The sequence below is a fragment of the Homo sapiens genome, chromosome 4 (genome assembly GCF_000001405.40).
Source record: "Homo sapiens chromosome 4, GRCh38.p14 Primary Assembly".
Classification (NCBI taxonomy): domain Eukaryota; kingdom Metazoa; phylum Chordata; class Mammalia; order Primates; family Hominidae; genus Homo; species Homo sapiens.
This window is the reverse complement of record NC_000004.12, coordinates 106,181,978-106,197,758: the sequence shown is the minus strand read 5'-3', so window position 1 is coordinate 106,197,758 and position 15,781 is coordinate 106,181,978. Positions and strand designations below refer to the sequence as shown.

Sequence of the window (15,781 nt, the reverse complement as noted above, 5' to 3'; positions counted from 1 at the left end):
TGGGGGTGACCATGAGTGTGATTGGGTGCAGTTAAGTTACACTGAAACAATTTGATCCTTTCAAGGCTTGCTTTTAAGGTTTATTTAATGGGGCCAGAGCAGCTTGGTTTTGGAGCATAATTTTCCTCCATTACTAAAGCAATGCTCTTCTGACTACTCTCCCTAATGCCTTGTTTATAACAGTTGTGGGTGTTTTTTTGTTTTGTTTTGTTTTGTTTTGTTGTTTTCATTCTGGTTAGTGAAAAAATGAACTCTTCTTGGCATTTTATGATCTTGGCATTTTTTCACTCTGATCATTTGAAGTGGTTTCTGCCCTACTTTGTATTATATATATATATATATATATACACACACACACACACACACACACACTCAGATATGTTTTCTGTGTACACACACACACACACACACACACACTCTTCAGTAATTAGCAAAGATTTGAGGGGAATCTTCAGCAGACTTCTGGAGCTTTCTCTATGCATCTCTCTCTCTGGCAGAATCTTCCAGGACACTCTCCTGAAGAGTATAGCCACCTTGATCTCCCCAGATTTCCTACTCTGCATATTCAGCTTAGGACAACCACCAAGCTCTTTCTGGGTTCTTCCTCCCTGTCAGTGGCCTGGAACTTCTTTGCATGCAGTAAATTGGGCAATTTTAGGGTTCATTTCATTTGTTTCTCCTCTCTCAGGTACCACTCTCTAAGATGTACAAATTGTTGTTTTATATATTTGGTCTGATTTTTAGGTGTTTCAGTTCAGGAGGTAAATCTGGTTCCTGTTATGCCACCTTGGTCAGAAGCAGAATTCTTCCATAGATCTTGATGAAGCTAATTACAAAGACTAGTATAGGAGAAAGGCACTGTTAGCTAGTTGCTGAAATAATTTGAAGAAGATTCTTAATGACAGTTAGCTTTCATCAAAAAGGGAGAAGGTAATATTGATGTCGTGTCTTTAAAAGAGATGTTGAATAATAGCAATGAAACTAATTTTGCTGACTTTATTTTTTAATTTAAATTTAAATGAACAATTTATGTTTTATTGTTTTCTACAACCCTTACTCATTACAGTGAAGTCATATACCTTTGTACTTTTTCCTTTTTCCATTTATATTGTCCCTAGAAAAATGTATCTAAATGTCAGCCTATAAAAAATGATGATATGGTGGAGATGAGTGGGTTTTATTTCACATGTAGTACTTAGATTTTAATATACTTATAAAGTTCTTGACTGTCATCTTGATAGTATAAATACTCAATTGAGTGAAATGCAAAGACAATATGCACCTTTTACTCATAAATTCATAATTGCTAGGTGCTGAAATAATATTTATTTAAACTAACCCTGTAGGTAGTAAAGAAGTCTTTAATAGCAGCCTGTATTAACTCATAAAGTGAAATAAAATTAGTGCTTTTTCAGTAAATTATTGTTGATTTTTGATACTTGCTATTGACAAAGGAGATTTTTACTCTACTTTTATAAATTAAGGATGATTTGTCACTTCTAAAACCTTCTAAAATTTGAAAATGTATATGTCTATATGTGTGTATATAGAACGATATATACTATATATATAGCTATATATGTGTGTATGTATATATTTCTAGGTAGTAAACTTAGGAGAATAAATTTGTCAAATTATTAATAATGGTAATATTAGATCTTATTACTTTTAGTCTGTTATGAAGCATCCTGTTAATTAAGTGGTAACAAAAAGCACATGCTTCATAATACCTTTTATTGAGACATTTTGAACATTTAAAAAGTATCTAATTAATTCTTAAAAATACAATTAAGAGTACCTCAAAACTTATGAGGACTGTATTAGGGTTCTCTAGAGAAACAGAACCAATAGGAGATATATAAACATAGATAGAGGAGATTTATTATGAGTAATTGGCTCACACATTTATGGAGGCTGAGATATCCCACAATATGCTGTTTGAAAGCTGGATACCCAGGAAAGCCAGTGGTATAATTGAGAGTCTAGAGGTGTTTGTAATTCTGATTCCAAAGGTCTGAGAACCAGGAAGCTGGTGATACAAATCCCAGTCTAAAGGCAGGGGAAGATTAGATGAAATGTTCCGGCTCAAGCAGTGAGGTAGAAAAGAAGAGGCACATTCCTCCTTCCTCTACCTTTGTTTTGTTCAGGCTCTCAGTTGATTACATGATACCTACCCACACTGGAGAGGACAGTTTACTGAGTCCACTGATTCAAATGCTGATCTTATCTGGAAACACCATCACACACAAACACACACACACACACAAACACACACATTTAACCAGATACCTAGGTATCACCTGATGCAGTCAATTAACTAACACAAGGATCTTTAAAATCTCAGAAATATTCTGTACAAACCTGTAAAGTAAAATATACCCTTGAAATTAGTATACCAGCATTGCATTTGGATTAGCCATGGTCTTGAGTCTATCCTTTGGTGAAATAAAGACATTCTGTGAATAATCTTTGCCAAAAGAGTCATCTACATTTGTAATGTGGATAGTATCATTATATAAGAGTATTTGTAATAACTGTAATTACCTATGTTAAAAGAAAAACCTTTGACAAATTAAATTTAACAGAGTTTAATTGAGGAAAGACCAATTCATAAATTGGCAGCCCCCAAGCCAGAAGAGGTTCAGACACTCCAGCATAGCCACATGGTGGAAGATTTATGGACAGAAAAAGAAAAGTGACATACAGAAAACAAAAGTGAGGTACAGAAACAGCTAGATTGGTTACAGCTCAGCATTTGCTACAGTCTGTTTACACATCCAGTTAGATATGATTCACTATGTATGGAGAAATCTTTAGGCCGAACTTAAAACATTTAAGGAGGCAGCTTTAGGCTAAACTTAACACTACATTCTCTTTTATTTTAACCAATAAAGTAGACCAAAACATAGAACTTACATTTACCATTTAGTTTATTGGTAATCATTCTAATTATCTTTTTTATTTCCTTTTTATCCATTCCCTGTACCCCTTTTTCCACTCATAGCTCTATGCCATCCCTTGGTTTCTTACCATGTTTACTCGTAAGTATGACTTCCCCCGGTTTTTTTGATATTGTATTAGCAAAAGGACAGCCCGATGCCTCCCCATATTTTATATTTACAATAACATTGAGCAGATTTAGTAAGTATTTTTATGTGTTTCTAACATAATAGAGTTAGGTAGAAAAGAATTTCAGTTGTTCTGATCCCTGAATATCAAAGTGAGAATTCTATAAAATAAAAACCTATTGGACATTTCATGATATTTGTACAAACTCTGCCCCCCTTTGAAAAAAAATTAACTATAATATTTACATAAAGCTTATAAGGGCAACTATTACAATCAAATCAGGCTTAATTTTCAGAGATTCTTCAGTAACTTTTATTTTTTAAACTAGGATTCCTCTAGAAATTAAGCAGATTATGTGAATGCGTAATACTTTAATTTGCTACAAATATTAATAAAGTGGACATCCTTACTAATAAAATATGGTTTACATGGTAACTGTAATAATATTTGAAGTAGATATTTATGCAGTGGCCTGGAAGATATACATAGTATTGTTAATAAGAAAAAGGAAGTTACAAAAAATAGGAAGTTGCTCATAGGATTTTTGGTGGGAATTTATTAAAACAGTTGTTTAGAGAATATAATAGATACGTTATTTTACTGTACCTAAAACAACACTAAAGTTCATCTAGATAAATCTGTGAGAATAATATAACTGGAAAGTTCTGGGAAGAAATATTATGAATGGTTAATAGGGTTAAAAATATTATCTGTTTGATTATCAATTTTTTAAGATGCCTTAGGAAGCTATAAATTTTCAAAGCCAAATAAACATTTCATAAAAAGAGTTTGGTAGTATTAGCTCTGAAGTAATAGTTTTGACCATAAGGTAATAATTATAGAACTAGTAAAGTAAGTTGTTATTGTTTTAATTGTTATTTTGGTTTTTTAATTTATTTGTATTTTTATCGTTTTACAGATGTATTTCCACTACACAAAATTTTCCACCTCTGGGATACCTTACTACTTGGGAATTCCTCTTTCCCATTCTGTATTGGAGTAGCAATTCTTCAGCAGCTGCGGGACCGGCTTTTGGCTAATGGCTTTAATGAGTGTATTCTTCTCTTCTCCGATTTACCAGGTATAGATCTAAATAAATGGAGCCATTAAATGAAATTTGACTATGAAATAATGACACATTCTTAAGCCATTGGCAAAAATAACCATCCAGGCCTTCAGCATCTCTTCTGTTTGGGCCTCATCATCCTCTCTGGATTCTTTCTCTCATATACTGCTTCTTCTGCTGACCCAGCATTGTAAATACAAATCTGGGTCATACCCGCTCACTGTGATTTACTTCCATCTTGGTAATGCTACTAAATGGGTAAAATGCCAGGAAGTTGGGGGCAATATCATATTTGCTCTTTTGCTTAGGACAGGGGCTGTTTCTCTTCAGTGATGGAAAGTATAGAAAGGCCACTTGGGAAGGTGTTTAAGAATCTGTGTTTATAAAAAGATACAATTCACAAAACTTTGTTGCCTCCCAGCCAAAGCTGCTTGCTAACAATTTTACGATTTGACAAAAGGAAATACTGCCCTCTTGGGAGGACAAATCATCTATGTCATGCAATGCAGGAGAATATGTTAAGCTATATAGAGTATTCACAAGTAAGGAGTTTGTAAACCTAGGAGTTGAATGCTTAAATGTAGAAATATGGATAACTATAGTCTGAGCTTTGAAGCTATGGGTAAAAAGATGAAATTAATGTCGTTACCTAGGATGTAACTAAATCTATATTTTTGCAGAAACTTCAGTTTTTTTAGGTGAAAAAACTTCACAGTACTTTATTGACAGCATCCCTTGTGCTGTTCTCCATATTTTCAGGCAGGCCCAAGTTACTGCTGATAATAAACACACTTAAAATTATCCCAGAATCAAATTTGCCTGAAAACCAAATAAAAAACAAAAGGAAGGTCCCTTAAGATTATGTCTTTATTAATTACTCTCAAGAAAAATAAGAAACCTACTGCCAGCCCTCATTTTTATGTTTAATGGATGATCTGTACTTGGTACTTTACCGCCTCTCTGTTGAAATTTTTTATCATTTGTGGGAAAATAATAAGAAAAATACCTTGGATTTATTTAAAACTTTTTATTCCCCCTTCCCTCAAAATTGAAACTATTATCATCAGCTTTCTGACTTATCAAATTTTAATTAAAGTGAGTTATTTCTTACTATGAATGAATAGTTTAGGTCATATTTTTTTCTGGGAGATTATGAAAATCAAGTTATCTATTTTTTTGTTTTGAACAGTAATAAATAAGCTAGTTTCGCAAACTGGGAATACTGTTTATATTATGCAGATGATTTCTTGTCATTTCCAGCTTGCCAAAGTAAACATAAGATGATTGATTAGGATTAAAATACATTTTCTGGCCAGTTCTAAAAATATATATATTAGGAATGCTGATTGTACATTTTCAAATCAAGCAAATGTATTGCCTTTCCAATTCAATACATAAATGCTCCTGTTAAACACTGGTGAAGCATCTGTTTTTATACTTTATAGGGAGATTAGTGGCAACTCTGCTTGTCTGTTAAAAAATTCATGCAACTGTGTATTTTATGGTCGACTGACATATTTCTGTCTTAATTCCATAGGAAAAATTATTCTATGTCTTTAAAATTGCCTGCTTTGGGTTTACTTTACAGATGGTATAAGATTAGAATAAAGTTTCTCGATTAATTCAAAACTGAAAGGAATTGTACAGTATTCTTACTAATGATCATTCAAGAGATGTTATCTTGCTTGTTTTAGGCCTTAAAAATGAAATTCTGGTAATTTTATCCTTTCTAGTCACTATATCATAACATCTGTCAAACCTTATTAAACACTCATGTTGTTCAGAGCATGCTATTCAAATAGGAATGAAATCTATTTAGTTGATGTAGTGTCAGCTGGTACAATTGGGTTTCTTTGCTTAATTGCTCTTACTGCAAATTCATCTTTCCATGAAATAATTAATCTGTTTTGCTTATAAATAGGTTATCCTACATGCAAAGACCCAAGATATTTCATCTTATATTAATAACTCTTAAATTCAGTCCCAGCATCCCTGCTCCTAACATCTCAATGCATTGATGATAGGTCCTATTAAAGCACTTAACTGGATGAACAGGAATGACATTTTCCACATATTTTCAAAGCTGCCTAGCTTATCTATGTCTTCTTCCTTTCCATTTACATTACCACCTCATTCCTGAACAAAATATTATTTATTAGTAATAGTATAAACTTCAAATAAATAAGTTCAAATGTTCACAGTAGGCACAAATTTGATATTTTTAACTGATGAGCATTCTATCTGTTAAAAGTATGTATGAATAATACTATTTTCATTTTATAGCAAGATATTCAGTGAAATACAAGTTCAGTCATCCCCCGGTATCGATGGGGGATTGGTTTCAGGACTCCCCCAGATTCTGTAATCCACAAATGCTCAAGTCCCTTTGCATGTAACCTATGCACATCCACCTTTATACTTCAGATCATCTCGCGATAACTTCTAATGCCTAATACAATGGAAATGCTATGTAAATAGTTGTTATACTGTATTGTTTAGGGAATAATGACAAGAAAAAACGTCATGCTCAGTACAGACACAGACATTCATTTTTATTCCCCAAATATGTTCACTGAGCAATTGGTTAAATCCATGGATGCAGAACCCATAGATATAGAGAGCTGACTATTTAAGAAAATTTTGTATGTACTTAAAAGTTCTTCTTACCAACCTGGCTAACATGGTGAAACTCTATCTCTACTAAAAATACAACAAATTAGACGGGCGTGGTGGCAGGCGCCTGTAGTCTCAGCTAGTTGGGAGGCTGAGGCAGGAGAATGGCATGAACCCAGGAGGCGGAGCTTGCAGTGAGCCGACATGGCGCCTCTGCACTCCAGCCTGGGCAACAGAGTGAGACTCTGTCTCCATAAAAAAGAAAAAAAAAAAAGTTCTTCTTCTTCATATGTTTAGATTGAATGTGTTCTGCGTGTATTTGGATAAGTAGGACAAGAATCTGGTGACCTCTGATTTTATTTTCACACTTATATTTTATGTAGCATAGAATTTGAGAGAATTTATTTGGTCTCTTAAAACAATAAGGCTTTGAGTTTACTTGAAGTAAAACTTATTTTAGTCAGAGATATAGTGTAATTGTGAAGTTTTAGCTAAAACAAATGTTCATATTCATCTAAGCAGCAGTTATATTTTCATGAAATGCTTAACCAAAGCAAAGAAAGCAGGTATCAATGTTGTGGTTCAATATCACCATCAGATGAGTGGACAGTTGACTACTATAACTTTTCCATTATTCAGTACTTATCTTAATAAAGCAAAAGTGCTGCCAAGTAAATTTAGTTATACTACATTTATATCCAAAGTTTTTAAAGTATTTTAGAGATGTTTAAGTATATAAATGGGAAACAATTTGGGTTTTCAGTCAATAGTTTTTTATTGTAATCTAGGGATAAATATAAATTAAATAGGGTTACTGTAAGATTTATGTGTAATCTTTCCATTATAAACAGTGGCTTAGATTTTTGAAACTATAAGACTTAATCAAATAGCTTATTATAGCCAGTAGGCTACTAATTTGTGACCTCTTTGTTAAATAGTTATCATGGTGATGAATACTGCAGAAAACAATAGGAGTTTAAAACAGGGAGTTAGGCAGTTTTTCTTAAGTAAATGATACCTAAGATAATATTTGAAATTATTTAAGTGATATTGGGGAGTGGGGAGTGGAAAGAGAGGAAAATCTTGTAGACAGAGGGAATAAAATGCTCAAAGGCCTGAAACAGCTGAAGGAAGTTGGAGCAAATGGGAAAGTGGAGAGGAGTGGCTAGAAAAGTGAATGGAGAGGTAGACAAAGAAGGATCATGCAGCATCTTGTAGGCCACATTAAAGATTTTTAAAAATATATTTGTTGAGATATTTTTTCAGTATTTTTGAAGTAATGAAATAAGTATTTAAAATAACATCAGGTACCAAAATACGAATGCTATAATTGATATTAATATTTGTAGAGCTTTCTGATCTCTCTACATTTTTTTCAAGGTGATCTATCATGAGTGAAGCAAAGGATTCTTAACATAAGTGCTCCCAATAGTTATCCATCATTTTTTCTCCCTGGCTTATAGCCAGATATGGGATGGAGAAATGATTTGTGAAAGAGTAGAGCAACTGTAGTACACAGTTGTTCAGTGAAAGTTTTGTATTGTCAAGCCTGTAAGATTGATGCCACTTTACCTGAAGCTGAGAATTAATTATTCCCATTTTCTGCTTGTAGCTACATGATATTCATGCATGTCATGCATGTCTATTTTTCTTTTTTTTTTTTTTTTTGAGATGGAGTCTCACTCTGTCACCCAGGCTGAAGTGCAGTGGCACAATTTTGGCTCACTGCATGTCTGTTTCTAAGTACACCTTGGAATTGCAAAAGGACAATCAAAATGGAAATTAAATTTGGAGGTTTTAGCAGTGGTCCTTCTCTCCCCCACCCATCTGTAAAAATTACATATAAACATTAAAATCTGGATGGCATATTAAAGTCTTGTGAGTTTAAAATTAGTTAAGGATAAGTGAGAAAGTAGTTAATTTGTTTATATTGGCATGGTGTATAGTCACTGAAATAAAACTTTATGAAAAATTACTTTTAAAACCTCAGGTTATGTCAGTCTTGTTTGTGGTGGAAATACTGCATTATTTTATGGAAAAGGGGAAAATTTAAAAACAGATATTACAATACATCACCTCCAAGCTAATAAATGGTCATGAAAATAGCAGCCAGGAGCATGACTGATGAAGACTCTGAAATTGTAACGTGATTCTAGGAAGCTGAAAGAATTCACATAACACTAACCTAATTGTTGCTCTTGAAGCATACAACTAATTTTGCAACATGTAAATACTTTATAAAGTTTAAAAGAAATATTTCGTACGTATTGGGAACTGTAATGAAAAATAATGTTAGAGGTGATCAGAATTTTTACTTATCTTGAAAATTTAGAGTAGATCTGAGTTCTTATACATCTTAAACCTGGTCCCAAATTGTCAAGAATCTGATAGGAAGGCCTTTCTCTATAGCAGAGCTGCTTGTTTTATGGTTGATAAGGGTTTCTGGTTTGTGAAAGGATTCCTGCTTTCTGAATTTTTTGAGCAGTCCAAAAATTATCTTATAGTTTAGATCAGTGTTATTAAGCATATTTTGTTTCAAGATACCAATGATGGCATTAGGTTTATATTTGCTTTACTATTGAATGTTTATATGTGCCTTAGATTTGCAAAACAAAATATATAGAGCATTTTTCACTTTTGAAGTAGATTAAAAGTAATTAACCTCAAAAACCTTTAAAAGTCAGAAACTGTTTAAAATATCCCTACATATACTGCTGATAGATATTGCAATAAGAATGTAAGGACCAAAATGTATTAAATTTAAGAGAGAGATTTAAGGCATCAAAAGAATATACCTTGAAATAATAAGAGCCATCTGTGAGAAACCAACAGCCAGCATGAGGCTGAATGGGCAAAAACTGGATGCATATTCCCCTTGAGAATTTAAACAAGACAAGTATGCCCACTCTCACCACTCCTATTCCACATAGTACTGGAAGTCCTAGTTACAACAGTCAGGCAAGATAAAGAAATTAAAGGCATCCGAATAGGAAGAAAAGAAATCAAACTGTCTCTTTTCACAAGTGGTATGATTTTATGCCTAGAAATCCCCATAGCCTCTGCTCAAGAGCTCCTAGATTTGATGAAAACTTTAGCCAAGTTTTAGGATAAAAAATCAATATATATAAATCAGTAGCACTTCTGTACACTGTGTCCAAGCTGAGAGCCCAATCAAGAACACAATCTCACTTACAATAGCCAATAAAAAAATACATTACTTAAGAGTACATCTACCCAAAGGAGGTGAAAGATCTCTACAACGATAACTACAAAACACTGCTTAAAGAAATCATAGATGGCTGAGCACAGTGGCTCATGCCTGTAATCCCAGCACTTTGGGAGGCTGAAGTGGGCAGATCACAAGGTCAGGAGTTCGAGACCAGCCTGATCAATATGTTGAAACCCCATCTCTACTAAAAATACAAAATTAGTTGGGCGTGGTGGCATGCGCCTGTAATTCTGGCTACTCAGGAGGCTGAGGCAAGAGAATAGCTTGAACCTGGGAAGCAGAGGTTTCAGTGAGCCAAGATAGTGCCACTGCACTCCAGCCTGGGCAACAGAGCAAGACTCCATCTCAAAAAAGAAAAAAAGGAAAAAAAAAAATCATAGATGACACAAACAAATGGAAAAACATTCCATGCTCATGGATCAGAAGAATCAATGTTGTTAAAATGGCCATATTGCCCAAAGGAATTTATAGATTCAGTGCTATTCCTATCAAACTACCAACAACATTTATCACAGAATTAGAAAAAAATATTCTAAAATTTATATGGAACCAAAAAAGAGCCCGAATCACCAAAGCAATCCTAAGCAAAAAGAACAAAGCTGGAGACATCACACTACCCAATTTCAAACTCTACTACAAGGATACAGTAAACAAAACAGCACGGTACTGGTACAAAAACATACACATAGATCAATGGAATGGGTTAGAGAACGCAGAATTAAAGCCACACACCTACAGCCATCTAATCTTCAACAAAGTTGACAAAAATAAGCAGTGAGGAAAGGATTCCCTATTCAGTAAATGGTGCTGGGATAGCTAGCTAGCTGTATGCAGAAGATTGAAACTGGAGCGCTTCCTTTCATCATATATGAAGATTAACTCGAGAGGGAATAAAGGTTTAAATATAAGACCACAAACAATAAGAATCCTAGAAGAAAACTTAGGAAACACCAATCTGGACCTGGGCCTTGGGAAAGTATTTATGACTAAGTCCTCAAGAGCAATTGCAATTGCAACAGAAACAAAAATTGACAAGTGGGACCTAATTAAGCTCTTTAAGCTTCTGCACAGCAAAAGAAACTATCAACAGAGTAAACAGACAACCTACAAAATGGGAGAAAATATTTGCAGACTATTTATTTGACAAAGGTCTACTATCCAGAGTCTTAAAAACAACTTAAACCAACAAGGAAAACACAAATGACCCCTTTAAAAATGTAAAAAGTACATGAACAGACACTTCTCAAAAGAAGACATCTGTATGGCCAACAAGCATATGAAAAAATGTTCAACATCACTAATCATTAGAGAAATGCAAATCAAAACCACAATGAGATACTATCTAATACCAGTCAGAATGGCTATGATTAAAAAGCCAACAAATAACAGATGCTGGTGATGTTGCAAGGAAAAGGGAACCCTTATACACTGCCTGCGGGAATGTAAACTAGTTCAGCCACTGTCAAAAGCACTCTGGAGATTTCTGAAAGAACTTAAAACAGAGCTTCCATTCAACCCAACAATCCCATTACTAGGCATATACCCAAAGGATTATAAATCATTCTGCCATAAAGACACATGCATGTGTATGTTCATCACAACACTATTCAAAAATAGCAAAAACATAAAATCAACCTAAATGCCCATCAATGGTGGACTGCATAAAGAAAATTGTGATACATATACACCATGGAATACTACACAGTCATAAAATGAATGAGATCATGCCCTTTGCAGCAATATGGATGGAGCTGGAAGCCATTATCTTTAACATACTTATGCAGGAACAGAAAATCAAATACCACATGTTCTCACTTATAAGTAGAAACTAAACATTGAGTGCACATGGACACAACGAAGAGAACAATAGACACCAGGGCCTACTTGAGGATGAAAGATGGGAGGAGGAAGAAGATCGAAAAAATACCTATTGGGTTCTATGCTAATTACCTGGGTAATGAAATAATCTATACACCAAACCTCTGCAGCACGCAACCTACCCATATAACACACCCATACATGTACTCCTTGAACCTAAAATTAAAGTTGGAAAAACAAGAATGAAAGAAAGGGTGCTTCCTGAACCCAGGCTGCTGCTCACAATGTTGTGATCCTTTTCCTTTCTCTAGGTCTCAGTCTTCCCATTAACATGTGAGGGTGTTGTTCTAGAATCATCATGGAATCTTTTAAAAAATGTAAGTTCTTGTCACAGGAACAAATACAGCATGATTCCACTTATATGAGCCATCTAAAGCAGAATTATAGAAGCAGAAATAGAATGATTAAACATGGGTAGTGGGAAATGGGAAGTTGTTGTTCAGTGAGTATAAAGTTATACAAGATATAATTTCTAGGGATCTGCTGTACAACAATTAATATACAGTTAATGATATGGTGTGCACTTAAAATTTCGTGGTAAGAGGGTGAATCTCATGTTGTGTTCTTACCACACACATACACTAGACATATGGACACATACACATAGACTAGATAGGAGAAAAGAGAAATAATATACCAGAGTATTTATAGAAATAATATACCAGAGTGTTTATAGCATAGAGGGAATGACTAGAATATTTTTATTACAAGAAAGCACATTTAATTACTTAAAATTTCAAGCCATTTTAATCCTTCTGTGCAAATTATCAATCATACGAAAACTGCTTATTGAACTTGGAACAAGGTTCTACTTGCCACAAAAATCAAAGACTCCTGTTTTGTTCTGATTCACCGTGAAGTGTAAAAGAAAGAGAGAAAACGATGGCTGCAACTGACCTAGTGCTAAATTTTCCAAGCTGCTGCAAATACCTGCTCTATAGGTAGAGTAGATACAGATACTTTGCATCAAAGTATCTACCTACTCAACTGTTAACTCATTAAGACAACTATGTTAAGAATAGAAAACAGTTTACCCATATATCAGTAATGTATTGCATTTCCTATTTATTTCTCATTTCATTGTAGGTATTAAACAACAGAAATGATAGATGCTTAGGAAAATGTGCCAGTAATTGCATGCACATATACCAGAGTTGAAAGGCTGGGTGAATTATATCTGGAGCCCGGTAACATATTGTACCATCCTTTTCTCCTTAGACATTAACTAAGAAGATTGTGTTTTAAAATTATATTCATTTATTTAAATATCTGTTGACTTCTAGGAGTGGGTGTATCTATATATATAAAACACATGTATCTCTATATATGTATACGACTAGTCTTATTGGTGGTTTATTATTTCTTTGTACCAGAACAGAATATTCATGCATAATTATTTAAAGATGATCCAGTGGTAATCTGTAAGTGTGACTGATACTTCTAACTTGGGTTATCTTAATTATTAATACATAGGGTATTACTCCCTTGTCCTGGTAAGTCACTTGACTGCCTTGTGTATTAGTTCTCTAATATTTTCAGTTAGATAATTCAACTTCCCTTTTAGAATTTCTCTATAGAATCTCCAGTGGAATGTTTAGTGTATGGAAGTATTCCTTATATTTTAATCAAGGTGGGTAATGGGAACATATTAGGAAATGAGTGAGCATGGTACTGACAAAGATAGTGAGTTAAGTTTTAGATACATGCTTAAGATATTACGGGGCAGCTAGATTTAGAAGCTGAGGCACTGTTAGAGATTTTTAGTGACAAAATGACAAGTATAATTTCAAGATCTTACTTGTCAGAGTCTAAAGTTTCCTGTAGTCAGTTAGGCTTTGGTGAAGCCCTAGTAAGTTAGGCTGTCATAAAAATATTTCACTTATTAGGGAGAATTATAATGCTCTTGGCATATTTAGAATGGCTCTTTTTTTCCTCAATACCTGCTAGGAGCATAAAGGGATTTTTTGTGATCTTGATGATGTTTGAAGCATGAATCAGCTAAATACATGAGAAGGATCATAACAAGGACAAATAATGCAAAAATGTTGTATAGATTACTAATGGTGTCAGTGAGACTAAACTGCAGTAAGTGGGACTTGTGAAAAATACTATGTTTGGAACAAAAAAGCAAAGCAAGATTGTAATTACTTTTGGAAAACATCCAATAATGTTTAGCAATAAGAAAACTCACCAACTTTCTTTAGTGTTTTTGAGATGTGAAGCATACAAATTGTGTGAACTGCTGGTCAGGAAATTGTGTCCACTTTCTATGAGACCTATGTAAGTTTACTCACTGATTACATGTTTAATAAATACTATATGACAGGCACAGTATTATGCACTGGGGCCATAAAAATAAATAAGACATAGTGTAGCTCTGTAGTAGGATGGAGAGAAAGCATTGGCAGCTTAGAAAATAGTATAAGGATAACACAGATATGTGAGGCTCATGGCTGTCTTATTGTAAATAGGATGTTAGTAGAGGATAGGTTGAGAGAGAGAAACCTGAAGTGGATGGGCTGGGGTGGTGGTACTGGTGGTAGTGATAAAAGTTGGTAAAATAGGTAGAGGAATGGTTATGGGGGCCTTGCATGATATGCTGAGGAAATTGGATATTATTTTATATGCAATTGGAAAGTTTTAAGCACAGAAATGACATGATCCTATCTATATTTTAGAAAAATGATTCTGGCTGTAGTATGGAAGATGGATTGGCCACCTGAAATGCTATGATTCTAAGCAGTAGAAAGAGAGCAGCTGTCCAGGGATAACTTCAAGAATGTGGTAAAAGAGTATTATTGAATTTAGCTCTTTACCAAAATAAATTATATGACAAAGTCCTGAGAGATTTCTAATATTTTAGAATTCTCTCTTAAGTAATAACATTCTATGCTGTATTCCTTGAAGTGTAGTTGATACTTACTACTAACAGTCCTTAAACGTGGATCAGTGAGTTACTCAAGGTTATTAATTCTTTGTTGGAAGACTAATTCTATGCCATTTCTATCCACTATAATTTTATTTTATGTCAGTACATTAAGTAGTGATAGATGTGCTGTCAACTTGAAGGTGTCAGAGTATTGTCCTTAGACCTTACCTTACAGAGAGTGCTTCATAATATGCATATTTTATTCCCTCTACTTTCTTCTCCACTAATAAGATAAGGAACTTTATAATTTTCAGTCTTCTTCTACAGTGATAATTTCATTGTGTTATTGTTGGGATAGTTCGATGTCATAAGACATTATAAGACAGAACCAATGACAAAAACCACATGATTATCTCAATAGATGCAGAAAAGGCCTTCAACAAAATTCAACAGCCTTTCATGCTAAAAACTCTCAATAAACTAGGTACTGATGGAATGTATCTCAACATAATAAGAGCTATTTGTGACGGACCCACAGCCAATATCATACTGAACGGGCAAAAACTGGAAGGATTCCCTTTGAAAACTGGCACAGGACAAGGATGCCCTCTCTCACCACTCCTATTCAACATAGTTTTGGACTTTCTGGCCAGGGCAGTCAGGCAAGAGAAAGAAATAAAGGGTATTCATATAGGAAGAGAGGAAGTCAAATTGTCTCTGTTTGCAGATGACATGATTGTATATTTAGAAAACCCCATCATCTCAGCCCCGAATCTCCTTAAGCTGATAAGCAACTGCAGCAAAGTCTCAGGATACAAAATCAATGTGCAAAAATCACAAGTATTTCTGTGCACTAATAACACATAAACAGAGAGCCAAATCATGAGTGAACTCCCATTCACAATTGCTACTAAGAGAATAAAATACCTAGGAATCCAACTTACAAGGGATGTGAAGGACCTCTTCAAAGAGAACTACAAACCACTGCTCAAGGAAATAAGAAAGGACACAAACCAATGGAAAAACATTCCATGCTCATGGATAGGAAGAATCAATA

At 34.2% G+C, this 15,781-nt stretch overlaps 1 protein-coding gene across 22 annotated transcripts in view; it reads left to right on the top strand.

Annotated features, from left to right (window-relative positions):
• The window catches only part of TBCK (TBC1 domain containing kinase), a 275,085-nt gene that overhangs the window by 118,925 nt on the left and 140,379 nt on the right, over window positions 1–15,781 (top strand). For 21 of the 22 annotated variants that reach the window (XR_001741353.3, XR_007057984.1, XR_007057982.1 and 18 more), the window contains 2 exons: window positions 3,005–3,041; window positions 3,989–4,150. Coding sequence is in view for 17 of the 22 variants with exons in the window: in NM_001163436.4 (NP_001156908.2) it covers window positions 3,005–3,041; window positions 3,989–4,150 (199 nt within the window). In the remaining 5 variants the exon portion in view is untranslated. Of the gene's footprint in view, window positions 1–3,004; window positions 3,042–3,988; window positions 4,186–15,781 lie in introns of those variants that run through there. The other variant, XM_047416427.1, reaches the window with a different exon arrangement.